Raw genomic sequence first — 14950 nt, forward strand, 5'->3', positions numbered from 1 at the left:
GAGGTTTTGCCGACACCCCGCTCCGCAGGCGACAGGCCCTACCTCGTCGAACAGTGAAAACATGTCTTCCAGCAAGTCAGAAACGGGGACTTCCAGGGAGGCGGCAAACTCCGCAATACCTATCTTCTCTCCTCCCTTCATCCTGGCTCTTTCTGAGTATCTGTCCAGATCTTTTTCAAGCTTTTCTGGTTTTAGCCTAGACAAAAAAAGAGGGAAAGCTTTCTTTTTCAATAAAATGGTGGCATGCTAACACCAGATTTACTTCTAAGACTCATCAAAATATTAAAATTGACAGAAGTAGCAGCAAGCTAGTTTTCAAGAAAAGGCATTCTCCTAATTGGAAGGTGCGAGATGTGTTCTGTCCAAGTGTCAAGCCAGGTGCCTGTGCCCCTGAGACCCGTTCCCTTCCCAGGGCAGATGTGGCAGGACACAGGGTGGCCCTCCTGGGGCGCCGTCCACAGACAGCTGATGCCAGCATTAAGGGATTGAAAGACACTATGTGGGCTTAAGTTGATATTTGAAAAAAGCCAGAATAATTAATAATTATCTCCTCAGTTCCCCTCCCTGCAACCCCAGGCAGCCCCCGCCAGACCTCGGCATCACGGGTTCTAGCTAATGCTCAAGGAAGAAGAACCAGGTACTCACCCGAGGCCCCGCACGAGCCTGGCAAATTCTAAAAGGCAAGTGTCAGCGGGGAGACGGAGCTGTCCTTCCGCCAGGGCCAGCTGGCAGTCCTCGAACGTGTAGTCAGTCACGGAGACACCCAAGGCCCTACAAGGAGGGCAGCACCCCCGTCAGCCCAGCCTCGTGGCAGCCAGTTCCCACCGCCCCACCAGAATAACCGCCGATGGCTCAGGGGAGAGGAGGGCTGAGGAGAGGCAGTGAGACAGGGGAAGGGCCAGTTGGTGGGGCAGTCACACATTCATCGATCAGCTTCACCTCTCGTGGGTGCTCTGAAACGATGACGGCAGCCACACCAAAGGTCACTGACACAGACTGCCATCACGTGAGAATCGTGAAAAAGTTTGAAACAGCGTGAGAATTACCAACATGTGACGTGGAGACACGAAGTGAGCTCATGGTGCGAGAATTACCAACATGTGACCCAGAGACGCCAAAGTGAGCTCACAGTGCTGGAAAACGGTGCTAATAGGCTTGCTCAACACAGGGTTGCCACAAACGTGAAGCAACTGTCTGTGAAGCACAGGATGAAGCAGAGTGAGGCGGGCTGTGCCCTCACTCCCAGAGCTGCTCTGACCGTGCCGTGTGTGCTCAGGTGATGAGAAATCGGTGCCTCTCTAGTCCTAGTTGAGAGCCGCTGAAGTTCCCCTTGGCAAACTTAGGCATCATCATTTGGAACAGGAGAGTCTCAGGCTATCCACAGGAAAGGACAAGGCCCAACTGAGCGGCTGCCTGTGAAGCTCACAGCAGTCCTGGCCCCGCCACGTGTGACTCCAGGTGAGCCAGGGACCAGGAGCCCTGGCTGGGAGAACCACCCACCTCCGCCAGCCACACCTGGGGCCATCCCCGGCCTCTCCTGATGGCCCGTCCTGGGTGGCACCTCTCTCCAGGCCAGCACTGCACACGTGCCATTCAACTCAGAACCCCAAATGACTCAGAGGCGAGCCCCATCCCAGATGAAAACCAAGGTCGAGGAAGGATGTGTGCGCTCTGCCACCCTGGGGTGCCACCATCCTTGCAGCGGGCAGGGGAGGAGAACGTGCTTCCAACACTGCCTCCTAGGACCCACTACGGGAGTGGGAAACCAGCCGGGAGGAGGCGCTGCCAGGGTCCCTCTGCTCATGATCAACTCCACTCCCCGAGTGGGGCTGCACGGCCCCGCCCAGGCCCAGGAGTCCGAGGCTGCTTCTCCCTCCCATCTCCACTCCGAGTGGGGCTGCACGGCCCCGCCCAGGCCCAGGAGTCCGAGGCTGCTTCTCCCTCCCATCTCCACTCCGAGTGGGGCTGCACAGGCCCCGCCCAGGCCCAGGAGTCCGAGGCTGCTTCTCCCTCCCATGTTCCTTGGTGGGGGGTTTTGCTGACGGTGGCAGACCCTCCAACGGCCCTGATGTGATGAAACATGGTTCCCGGTAATTTGGAGTGGGGTTTTAAGAGAATTCTGAATTACTACAATGGAAATGGCAGCACTCTCGTACCCTAAAAAAAGTACAAGTTCCTCGGAGTCTGTTTGAAATGGAGGGTTCTAAAATAATCAGTGAGGCCCACAGGCGATCTCTCCTTGAGCGCTGTAAAATCTGTTCTCTTCCTCCTAAGTCCCCAAAAGTAGCCAGTATTGGCAGCAGTCCGGAGCACAGGTGCTGGGCTTGGAGGTGGGAATGCATTCCCCTGGCTCGGCGCCTACTCAGCTTTTTGTATTGTTCAGAGCTGCCTGTGGTGGGGGTTGAGTGGAGCTTTGCGGGACAGAGACTGCCGGGCCCATTTCTACCCTCGGACACATGCTTTGGGAGGGAGAGGATGGGAACGTGAGGGAACGGGCCGCCCAGCTGAATCTTCAGGGTGTCAGCGGAGTGTGAACAAAGTGGCTCGGAGGTCAGAGCCAGGCACACTCTGATGGGCCCGGCCGTGGCTGTGTTCCCCTCTGGGCTCTCTGGAGAGGCGAGTTCCCAGCCATGCCCCGACCTGCTGCAGCAGGAGCCTGGGGGTGGGGCCGGTGGACCGAGGCTGATGTGGCTTCCAAGTGGCTCCTGCAGCTCAGGTCTGGCAGCCGCCCGGTGGAGGGGAGGCTCTAGCTCCACTGGACAGAGCTTTGCAGGAGGAAGCACTAGGGAGGCATTCACGTGGGGGTAAATCCAGGTGGGAGGACCTGGTTGCAAGGACAAGTGTGGGGGGAATGGGACCTGAGGGATGGAAGGTGCTGAGGGAGGGAGATGGGGAGGGCGTGTGAGCTGACGACACCGAGGGAGGGAGAGGGGGAGGGCGTGTGAGCCGACAGCACTGCCGGCCATGCAAGCAGGGGACCTGGGACCATGGGAAGCGAGGACATTCCCTCTTCCTAACTGCATGCACGACAACTGTGTAAGCAGCACAAGTCACCTTACAAGATTAAATGTGCAACCACCACTCCACTCTGCCAGATAGAGTAAGGGCACCGGTAAGTATCACACAGGCAGATGAGCAAAGGTAGGCGTGGAGGCCGCCGCACAGATGTGAAGTTGGCCCAGGCCAGCGCCCCGCTGGCTCATTTAGGGCACAGGAAACATAGGACCTGGGGTGACCAACGGCTGCAGGCAGGTCTGGAAGAACCAGTCATGCATCTTCCCAACGTCAAAGAGGGTGAAATGCCATCAGAGGGAAACAAGGGGCGCACAGCACAAGGCCAAGCACGCTTCACCAACATGCATGAAGCTGGTTCCCGCACTTCTGCAAGAATGCCTTTTCCTAACGCTGTTGCCTATTTTAAATATACAGAGAGCAGCACTCTGGGAGACACCCCTGACTCGGCGATGGGGGAAGGAGCTGCTCACTTACTCGGCCATGACTCGCCGCACGTTGCTGGCATACAGCGCGGGGTTCCTCTTCTCCTCCTCAGAAGGGCTGTACACAGGAAGGAACTGAGCACACAGAGAAGCTGCGTTAGTATCACAAGACGCTGACCTCAGCAACACCACTGTAACGACAACTGGGAGGCTGACAAAATTAAGATCTGTCAAAGTAACGCCCATTAGAACCGTCTTCAAAGTTGTCATGTGCACGTGTGTGTACGCACACACACACCCCCATGATGCATGAACTGCACACGTGTGCACCTGAACACTCACCCTCATTGGTGCTCCCTGGGAGCACCTGCTGCCTACATCAGAACATCTGGCTCTCTGATCTACACTCACCCCCGTCAGTGCTCCTGGGAGCGCCTGCTGCCTACATCAGAACATCTGGCTCTCTGATCTACACTCACCCCCGTCAGTGCTCCTGGGAGCGCCTGCTGCCTACATCAGAACATCTGGCTCTCTGATCTACACTCACCCCCGTCAGTGCTCCTGGGAGCGCCTGCTGCCTACATCAGAACATCTGGCTCTCTGATCTACACTCACCCCCGTCAGTGCTCCTAGGAGCTCCTGCTGCCTACATCAGAACATCCAGCTCCCTGATCTCACAGAGGGGCTTACGCCCATTTCTGACAGCATCAGTTTTGTAATGGGGATAATGCAGCACGTTATTCCTACATTTGGAACAGATTATTGGCAGCGTTTTGCCACCTCTTGCATTTTGAAACTAAAAGAAATTGTCCAGTGAATTTGTCCTTGCCTGAGTGACACTTACACAGCATTTTAAATGAATATGACCCACATTGCACACCGTGCAGGAAAGGGCACAAGACTACCCTGGATGTCCTTTTCTCTAATACGGAATATTTCAGAATACAGGAACATCCTGAAACCCCAATTCTCGCTGTTATTTCTAAAACTTCCGTAAACTGCCATGGTTCCTTGCATCAACATTTGCATCTTGTATGAACAACGTCAGTAAGGACAGAGCAGTTTTGCACAGCCATTCACTTTCTTTTCAACTCTTAAAATTAGAAACCAGGCCTGTAACACAGCCATTCAACACCAGGGAGCCCTCAGGAGCTCAAGCTCAGTCCCTGTGTTCTGTGCTCGAGGCCTGGCCTGCACCCTCCCGGCCACTGCCCATCCAGCCACATAATCCTGCTGGGTGGGGGAACTGCCGCCCTCAGGCCCGGGCCAAGGCCCTTCAGCCCAGTCCTCTGTAATGAGAGCAGCTTATCCTCTATGGAAGTGAACAGCCGGGCTGAAAGCCGGGCTTATCAGTATATTTCGTAGTGCTCTCCAATATTTACTGGAAGGCAGCAAATTGTTTTATTAAATATTTAAGTTGCATGTGACTCATCTTTTATTTCCAGATGCAAGAAGTGCATATTAATTCCCCTTTTAAACAAAAAAAGAACTACTCCTCATCGACTTAGAAAAAATTGTGCAGGCTACACAGAGGTGACTATTTAGCCCAAGGTCTTGACTCTGGAGACCTGGGTCAGGCTGAGAAGGGGGATCTTTGACTATGTATTAAACAGAGCATGGTGCTATGACAAACTCAGCGGTATTAAATATGTAAAGTAAAACTAAGAGCCAAACAAATAATTATTTGCATGTGGGCCAGCTTCATATGTCCTTAAGCTACAATACCCATAATAATGAATGGTAGGTTTAAAAAATCCTTTCCAGCTGGGTGTGGTAGTTCACGCCTGTGATCCCCGCACTTTAGGAGGCCAAGGCGGGAGGACTGCTTGAGCCCAGGAGTTTGAGACCAGCCTAGGCAACAAAGTGAGACCCATCTCTACAAAAATTAGCTAGGCATGGCGTGTGCCTGTGGTCCAATTACGTGGGAGGCTGAGGCAGGGAGATCACTTGGGCCCAGGAGGTCGAGGCTGCAGTGAGCCCATCGCTACACTCCAGCCTGGGCAACAGAGCAAGACAAAATGCTGTCTCAGAAAAACAAAAAACAAAAACCCAAATCTTATCCAAGTGGTTCAGACTCATAAGAGAGACATAAAGTCATTGAGGTAAAGCAACCAGAGGCTCCTCGAAGGAGCCCTGAGAAACGGAAAGATGGGAAAGCAAGACAGGTGATATGCCACATTGTACAAGGCTTATCTGGGCATCCTGGTGTAAGCTCGTGTCTGCATCAACCACTGTGAAGAGCGCTGTGTAACTCTGTATCCATACGAACCTCGATTTCCACTTGGTTGTGAAACTGACACAGCGTGAGCCACAGGATTTCCAGCCTTAAAAACAGATTGCACAATGTTGAGCAGATTTACAACTCGGGTTAACAAGTAAATTACTCCCAATTCTGGGGTGAAACCTCCAGACGCGCCCTCCAGAGGGCGCTACTGGGCAGTCAACGCTCCCACGGAGGGGGTGCCGTGCCCACCCAGCCCGAGCCCCAGTGTGACGTACAGCCGTGGGTGGAAATGCTGCTTTTCCGATTCAACACCTGCTTATGTCCTTGGTTCGTCTAGCAAGACACCATCTCCTGCTTGTTCTCCAGCTCAGGAGACCTCGTACAGCCCACACCTGTCCCTCCACACCTGTCCCTCCTCGCTGTCCCCAGGCAGCACAGGCCCTGAGTCATGCCACCCCTCCAGCCTGGATCCAGAGTTCCCAACCTCAGAACCAGGATCACCATGCCTTTGCCGCAGGAGTTGACATGGGAGACATTTGGAGCTGCTCCCAGGGCCACACTCACGCCTCCGACAGCCCAGTGCCCCAACCCTCTTTCTGCCCTGTCATGCCAGCCCCAGCCCTAGGCCCCCGGGACCCCAGAACCCCTATACCCCCCAGAGCCCCCTCCCAGCTCTGCTCCCAGCTGGGAGCCTCCACACGCCAGCCTGGGAAGCGCTGACCTCAACACCTTCACCTGAAAGCACCAGCGGACCCACATCCTCCCAAACGCCTGGAATGGAGCTGCTCTCTCTTGGACTTTCCCGCTCCCTCTGCCCTCCCGACGTCAGCTCAGACGTCAGCACCCAGGAGGCCCTGACCAGCCTGTGGCCCCGGGCTTCTCCTCTGGGGCTCGTTCCCGTTTCCGTGGGGTTGTTCATTGTTGCATAACTGACCTTCGGTGTCTCTGCTGGGGGGACAGGGACACTGACTCACAGCAGGGGCTGGCCTCCCACCCAGCACTACTCAGTCTCTGTGCCTGTGCAGACGGGGTCCCCCCAGACACCCCTAAATCTCCACTTTCCTTACCAGGGGCCACCAGGTGGACGATCGTAATTACTGAGCTGGCAAACTCGAGAGCCGAATGCAAGACTCACAGTTCCCTTCCTGCTGGTACTGAAGACGTGCAACTTAAGACCCCAGAATCCAGGAGTGTCAGGCCTGGGCCACATCTGTACGTTTAGTTTTCACAATGGGCTGAACCTAACGGCTGTCCCACACCTGCTTTCACAACTGCAAAAGTAACTAGCGTGCACAGCAGACCCCAAGCAGCCCCTACGTGTTCATGGAACAACAGGACAAAGAGGACGACACGGCGTTCAACTTACGCTCCAGGTCCTTGCCACGTCCATGTGATGGTGTCCTGGGGAGGAAGAGGCAGGGTCAGTCAGCATGGGGCCTGCACCCAGGGCCTGCACCAAGCACCTGCGTGTGCCGGCCTCTCCCTGCACCTCCCACCCCACAGAGGCGCTGCAGCCAGGGGGAAGGGAGGAGGGTGCTAGAGCTCCAGCTTCCCAGAGTCCCTGAGGATCCAGGACTCGGACCAGCCCCCCAGCCTGAGGTCCCCAGAGCCTCTAAGGACCCAGAGAACCACCACCTTACAGGTCCCCAGAGTTCCCCCAAGATCCCCAGAGTCCCTGAGGACTCAGAGCCCCCTCTTATAGGTTCCCAGAGCCCCTAGAACCTGGGAAAAGGGTCCTCCCTCCCTCCATGCTCTCCGCTTTCCTCACAGACCTGGGGACACCAATTCCAGTGTGCACCCGGGACCCCGGCCCTCTCCTGCCCACCGCTCTCTCCAACTGCTCTGAGTGTTCCCCCAACCACGGTGCATGTGCAGGGCCCCCCCACCCCGGGTGCTCTGAAGTCCCATCTTCAGCCTCAGTGCCGCCGGGCAGGGACCACACAGCAGGGGCCGTGACGGCAGAGGCCCAGACACCGTCACCCTGGGGTGGACCTTCTGCTCCCCTGACGGCTAAGCTAGTGCTTCTTGGTGCATCCAGTAATAGTGTGTTGCTTTAAACACACTGATGAAACAATCTTAAAAGTGGAAAATCTAGATGACTGCACAGATCGGAGTCTGTTGTCCTCGGGTTGACTTTTTTGCCCACAGGAGTTGCACTGGGGCATGGTTTCCGCAGCGGAGGCAGGAAGGGGCCCTTGGCCAGGAGCCTGGCTGACAAACGCACGCCTCAGTAAGAAGGAAGAGGTCTTTCAGTCGTGTGACTACCGGCCCTGACTCCATTTTATTACCTGACCGTCAGCTCTCCGGGCAAAGTGAAGCCCGGCAGGCATCGGACGGGACAGGCCCTGAGGCGGATGGCCCAGAACCCTGGCACCCAGAGGTCACCTGTATTTCTGCCCCACTATGTCCTGACCCACGGGGGTTTTCTTTCAGTGCTTTCCTTTGCCATCACAAAAAGGAACTGCTATAGACGGGAAGCTCGCTGTGATGGGCAGGCCCTCCTCGGTGCTCTCCCAGGTGGGTGCTCCACCAGGAACCTGCAGTGAGCCCAGCACCAGTGGGCTGTGGGGACCTTGAGTCCACCTGGGCCGTCTTTATGCTCCAGGAGCCCATGAAGGGGCAAGGACGTGCGGGAGTCATTGCTGTGGAAGGGGGAACACAGCTGGCACCAAATGAATGCCCTGAGCTCGGCGGCAGGCCTGTGAGGCAAGGTCGCCTAAGTGGGGAGGGCCGATGGAACCGGAAGTATTCTGAGCATCCAAGAGCACCTGGAGGAAGGTGCAGCAGCCACCTTACAGGTGTGGAAACTGAGGCAGGACATGGGCAGGGGCGGGGCCAGGGGGTGGGGCTGCGGCCAGGGGCAGGGATGGAGCAGGGCCTGGGTCAGGGTGGGGTGGGGCGGGGCAGAGCCAGGGCAGGCTGGGGTGGGGTGGGGTGGGCTGGGGTGGGGTGGGGTGGGGCAGAGCCAGGGCAGGGTGGGGTGGGGTAGGGTGGGGCAGAGCCAGGGCAGGGTGGGGTGGGGTAGGGTGGGGCAGAGCCAGGGCAGGCTGGGGTGGGCTGGGGTGGGGCAGAGCCGGGGTGGGCTGGGATGGGGGGAGTAGGGTGGGGCAGGGGGGTGGGGTGTGATGGGCCAGGGCAGGCTGGGGTGGGGTGGGGTGGGGTGTGGTGTGGTGGGCTGGGGCAGAGCCAGGGCAGGCTAAGCCTCCTCCAGAGGTGGCAAGGCCCCATGGGGAACTGCTCTGAGGCCTCGTCCAGACTTTCTCCCAAAGGTGGGGTCTACCACCTTCGCCCCAGGAGCTCTGGACCCCAAACACCTTCTTAATTCTCTTAAACCAAACAAAACCTGGGCACTAAATGATAAAACCACAGAAATGACAAAGTCACCTCCTTTCTCTCCAGCTGCCTCCGCCTTCCAGAACTTAAATGTTCTTAATTTTTAAACTTCCTGGAGCATGAACTGGGTACTGAAAGCTGCTGGGGGCCCTGGCCGGTGATGTGGGGTGGAGGGGTTCCCTCTCCAAAATGTCAGGTTTGGCACACAGAGGAAAGGGCAGCTTTGTCAGGAGCTATGGAAGCAGGGCTCTGGAACACTGGGGACCACTGTGGAATCATGGGGTTGATCAGGGACACGTGCATAGAACAGGCCGCACTCAGGAACGTGCCGAGCCCAGGGCCCGGGCCTGTCCTGCCCTCTCCAGCGCTGAGGCCGGATGGACTCAGCATGGCCAAGTGTGGGCTGTGGCGCAGATAAAGGGTGTGGAGAGACAGAGACACAGGTGCACAGAGGCAGCTCGCAGTTCCCGTTTCCCGGAGAATTCCCCTGGAAGCTGACCCCAAAAAAACACAACTCACCAGTTTATTTGGATATCGTAAAACCACAGGCTGGACGGGCGCTCCAGGGATGAATGCACCTGCCGAGAAAGGAACAGCGGTGTTGCCCATGGCAGCCCACGCAGGACAGCGTCTGCTGCGTTTCTCATGCTGCCCTTGGGATAAAAGTGAGCTTTTCTGTCTAGGCCTTCCTGGTCAGCAAGGGCACTCCATGCCTGGACTATCTCAACATCTGTCCTGACCGTAAACACCCAGCGCCACAGCACGGATGGGCAGGAACATCGGCCAGGGGCGCTCCCCGGCCAAGGAACACTTTCTGTTTTAACATCGCGCACGAGCTGGAAGGCGTCTGTGGAGGGACACTTGCTATTATAACATTGCGCACGAGCTGGAAGACATCCGTGGAGGGACACTTTCTGCTGTAACATCGCGCACCAGCTGGAAGGCGTCTGTGGAGGGACACTTGCTATTATAACATTGCGCACGAGCTGGAAGACATCCGTGGAGGGACACTTTCTGCTGTAACATCGCGCACCAGCTGGAAGGCGTTGGTGGGAAGTGGGGGTCCTCATCACCGGCCAATGCTCACCCACCTGACGGGGTTAGGGTCTGCCCTCACCAAGCACATACACCTGCCTCGGGGCCCCACCCGCCGCCCTCACCTGCCCCTGGGGCTCAGCTCCAAGGACGGGCGGATTTGGTCACAGCTGCAGCAGGACTTGCCCGGGATCTGCCTCTCTCTCTGAGTGGCTGCCACCTGATGGGCTCCCAAGGAATCAGGAGGAGCCCCAGCGAGGCCCAGCTAGAGCCACAGGCCGCAGAGGCTCAGGAACTTCCCCGTTCCCACTGGAATTGTGGCTGTACCCAGCAGCCGCTCCGCCTTCTCACTGGCCGGAGTTGTGCCCTTGCGGGCTGGAGCAAGGCACCATGGACTCTGTGGATGATTGTTTCTATTTTAAATTCTATTTAAATCTCTATTGAAAGAGTTTTTTTTTAACTGGAAAACTCAGGCATCAGAAGTACTCAAGTTTTAGAACAGGACAGGCGGTCTGAGAAGGGCTCCCCTGCCTGGCGACCTGAGGCCAGGCGAGTGAATCCCCAGGCAGCGCGTTCCTCCCAGGCTGCCAGCGAGTGCCACTATGTGGTCAGGAATTTGCGGTTGGTCCTGGCTGCGGGATTCTGCACAATTCTGGGAGAATGGAGCCCATGCTTGCCCCTAGGGCTGCCAGGAGCATCTGTCCCTAGGGCCAATTCTCCCTTCACGGTGGCCTGAGGCCAGAGGCCCGTGTCAGGGCTGAAACCTCGAGCTGACCGCCCAACCCACTCAGCTTTCGTCTCATGCAGGACATCCACCTGCAGCCTTGGTGTCCAGCTGGCACCCCAAGTCCCTGGGCCCGTGTGCCGCAGCTTCCCCTGTGTCCAGGGCTGGGTTGCCCCCTTCCTGCTGTGGGCTCAGCAGCACCTGGGAGCAAGCTCATGCAGTTCACCCAGCACTTCTGTGTGCCCAGGTGGACGGGTGGCTGTGTCAGGGGAGGCGGAGGACGGCAGGGCTGGCACAGACCCAGGCTCAAGCCCCAGCTCCAACGCCCGGCAGCCGAGTCCCAGCCCCTGAGACACGCAGTGTGGAGGAAATAGTCCTCATTGCCTGGGACCGAGCCCAGGAGCTCGCGTGGAGTGCCGAGACCTGCTGTGGGTGATAATGGCTCTGCTGCTACAGCTCAGCCGACCATCCCGACCATGTGTCAAGGGGACATCACTGAAACTCAGTAAGAATCAAAGGAAACCTCAACACCCTGGGGACCTCTCAGGAAAGTCCCCAAGAGCACAGAAACCCCCCATGAGCCTGAAAGGTCAGTGACTTCATGGAAACCCCGGTGGGAAAGTCTGCAGGGGTCTCTGGCCTCCCTAGTCTCCCAGGGGCCCCTGAGGGTCAGCAGCACCCAGACCCCGCCAGCACTGTGCACCCAAGGCAGGCTGCACAAGGGCCAGGCTGGGAGAAACCAAGATGAGGCAGTCAGAGCCCAGGGCTTCTGAATGCAGGAACAAGGCAGAGGGGAGGAGGTACGGGCTTCTAAACTGCACAGAAACCTCCATATTCACACATAGCTTGTGCTGGGCATGGGTCTAACGTCACTAGTTGCAACAATGAGGCTGGAAGATGGCTCAACAGGGACCCCTGAGGCCCCCAGAAGGCCATCACCCCTTATTCACCCTGACCATCCCCCACAGCCCACCCCACAGGAAGAAACAGTCCACCATGGCCCAGGGAGAGCCGTGTCCACATCTGCTCACAGCCTGTGCAGGGAGGCCGCTGCGGCCCAGGGACAGCCACATCCATGTTTGCTCACAGCCCGTGCAGGGAGGCCGGGGAGAGCCACATCCATGTCTGCTCACAGCCCGTGCAGGGAGGCCAGGGACAGCCACATCCATGTCTGTTCACAGCCCGTGCAGGGAGGCCACTGTGGCCCAGTGAGAGCTGCGTCCACTTCCAACAGCCACATTTGGTAGGCCCGCCTCTGCATCCTCGGGCTGTCAGTGCCATCGCTGGGCCCACGCAGCATCCTAGGGCCTTCTCACTGTCTTCGTTCTGCTCTGAGAGCTTGGAGCTGGCAGGCAGGTGGGGTGTGGGCATGTGGAGGGCGTGGGCCCAGGACCTTCCAGGAGGGGTCTCCAGGTACCCAGTCAGCCGATCCTGCTCTAGTGCCCTCTGACAAGGAGGGTGAGTGTGGGCACTGGAGAGGAAGGCCCCACATGGGCCTGTTTCAGGAGCAACTCAATCCCTGCAGAGCCCTGAGGGTCCCAGCCCTGCTGGAACCCACCACATCCAGCAGACCCCACAGGGCTCTGCTGAGCTCTATCACCCCCACCTCAGAGGCGGCACCCCTGGCCTGGGTCAGAACAGGGGGACTCAGGTGGACAGTGCAGCACAGACAAGAGACACTCAGGAGAAAGAAGGCACCTGGGCCCAGGAGGACCCTGCTGGAGGCTCCAGGAGCCTGAGGCTGGAGGCTGGGCCCAATGCGGGAAGGTCTCCGGGGATGAAGGCGGGGAGTCAGCAGTGGTGCCCAAACGGGTGACCCCAGCAACGTGACCCCAACATCAGGCGATGTGATGAAAGGTGGAGGGAGGGTCTGAGTGGGTGGGCCGCCATGGAGCTGGGGCAGCTGGAGCCCAAGGCAGCAGGCAGGTTGTGGGTGCCTCTGTTGTCAGGCTCAAGGCGGGAGACGCTCACGGCTCTGGAGGGCTCCACCACGAGGCGTCAGGATCACGCACCACACACCAATTTCACCTCCAAACAGGAGGCTCCAAACCTCACTAAGAAGTACCCAGCTAAGACGCATGAGGGCCTGAGAGATTCCGAACACGTGACTCGAGGCAGCCGGAAACCCGGGCCTGCAGGTGACACGCAGAACTCATGGCTGGACCCACTGGAAATGGAGACGGGGAAAGGATCAAGCCACCGTGTCATCTCCCCAGACCCCGTGGAACCCACCTGGGGCACAGCGAGCGCCCTTCCTGGACTGCACACAGTGAGCTCCTACTGGGCACCGCCATGAGTCCCCTCAGTTTCGTGATATGCGTTGAGAGGTGCTCACACGCCCTCCTCACGTCTACACAAGGGCCGCCAGCTCCAAAGGGCAAGGCGATGGCCCTCCCCAGGGGCCTCCCTGCAGGCACGAGGCTCCACTCCCGAGGAACACCTGCCCTTGAAGACAGGGCCCAGCAGTGACCCCAGCCCCACACCTTGTCAAGGAACAAGACCTGACGTACTTGCCAGCTGTCTTCTGCCTGGGGCCTTGGAAACACGGCCCACTTTTGGCCTTCACCAAGGTTGCCCACAGGCCACGCCCAGGCACGGACCCAGTGTGGTGGGGGCACACGGATTCGTGGTCACCGCGTGCCGCCTCCACCCTCTGCATCTCTGGTTCTGATCAGAATGACTCAGAACCACGCGTGGTGAAGACAATGGAACGGGAAGACCCAGTACCTTCCAGTGAGCTGCACCTTGAAGCCTCTGGAAGCAAAACCTGCCATCTGCCTGCTGCACCAAGGAGGGTGGAGGGTGAAAGCACGCGCATCTGAGCTGGAGGAGGATGGCCACAGGCTCGGAAACCCCGGCGGCACACGTAGGTGAGTGACTGCACACTTTCTCGACCCAGCTCCCATAAATGTCCAGACACTCAGGTTGTGCGGCCCCAGAGGCACGGCAGCCGGTGCCAGTGTGAGCGAGGAACTGGCTTTTCCACGTGACTCTGATCCAACCACAGAGAACAGGTCTGCATGCCCCAGTATGGACACAGTTGATGAAAGCCACTACTTTCTAAAGTAGCCCAAGGGAGACGACAGGATCCAGGTGGACCCTCTGACACGCCCAAGGGTGTGCAGAATTCCAAACAGACTCAGCGCAAAAAGAACAGTGGACTCTGCTGCCTGCTCACTGCCACACTTCCCACGTCAGGGGTGCAGACACAATACTAGACCCAGGTAACCGCCGCGGGAGAGACCCAAGTTCACACGCATTTGAGTCCCCCCTCCCCAGGGAGAAAGAACACTGTCTAACTGGGGACCTGGGGACCTGGGCATCTGAGGATGGCTCGCAGGGATTTGCACCTGGGATTCCCAGGCGGGTGTGGGGCGTGAGCTGCAGGCCAAGAAGGGTACCCTGAGCCATTCAAAGGCAGTGAGACCCCTTCTGCACCCAGGACCCTCCAGCCTGGACCTCAAAACAGAGGCAAACATCTATCTCCACCTCACTGGAAACGCCCTGAAACCGTAACTTCTCCATCTTCCTGCAAACATGATAATCCTTGACTCACATTCTCAAATTTATTTTGTGACTTTTCTTAGGAATACCTCTAAGAACCCCAGCACACAGGATAAAAACAGAAACTGTTCTTATGTGCACAGCACATTATTAAAAAACATCTCTTTAATATTTTCCTTTTCTCTAGGAGAAAAATAAACATTTAAGAAAACTACATACCAGGTTTGAAGGTAATTAGGCAGGTCCTGTTTGTACAAGTTCCTTCTGGAAAAATCATTATCTGGAAGTGGGAGAAAGAAAAGGATCAGCATTAAACTGTACATAATTATAATTCAGAACTTACAGAAGCCAATCTTCACAATATATTTTCTTTTCTGCTGACATAATTTGGACACTGGGATCATATTCAGTACGTAAATTATTAAAATGCATTATGGAAGCACACACTGATTTCCGCTCTGCTGGTTTTATTAAAGTGTGGCAGCAGTATCAACACATAAACAGCATCTGTCTTCTTCAACTACAGCTCCTGGAAAGCAGGGTAGTCGCGGTGCCCACCTCTCAGACACTGTGAGAACCAGGTGCAACTAAATATAACCCACGGTTGGCACAACATAAGCACCTCCTGGGGGCAGCACTCATTCTCATCAGGAAGAAGGTGGGGAGGAGAGCAAAGACCCACAAATGGCAGTG

The 14950-nt window shown here is 57.1% G+C and overlaps 1 protein-coding gene across 5 annotated transcripts in view; it reads right to left on the reverse strand.

Moving 5' to 3' along the window:
- LPCAT1 (lysophosphatidylcholine acyltransferase 1) overlaps positions 1-14950 on the reverse strand; it is a 62534-nt gene that overhangs the window by 12488 nt on the left and 35096 nt on the right. For all 5 annotated transcript variants that reach the window (NM_024830.5, XM_005248373.4, XM_047417763.1 and 2 more), the window contains 7 exons: positions 14477-14537; positions 9514-9572; positions 7028-7062; positions 5707-5761; positions 3490-3572; positions 646-771; positions 43-196 (listed from right to left, as the gene is read on the reverse strand). In NM_024830.5, the coding sequence (NP_079106.3) occupies positions 43-196; positions 646-771; positions 3490-3572; positions 5707-5761; positions 7028-7062; positions 9514-9572; positions 14477-14537 (573 nt within the window). The remainder of the gene's footprint in view (positions 1-42; positions 197-645; positions 772-3489; positions 3573-5706; positions 5762-7027; positions 7063-9513; positions 9573-14476; positions 14538-14950) is intronic.

Source organism: Homo sapiens, chromosome 5, assembly GCF_000001405.40.
Source record: "Homo sapiens chromosome 5, GRCh38.p14 Primary Assembly".
NCBI lineage: Eukaryota > Metazoa > Chordata > Mammalia > Primates > Hominidae > Homo > Homo sapiens.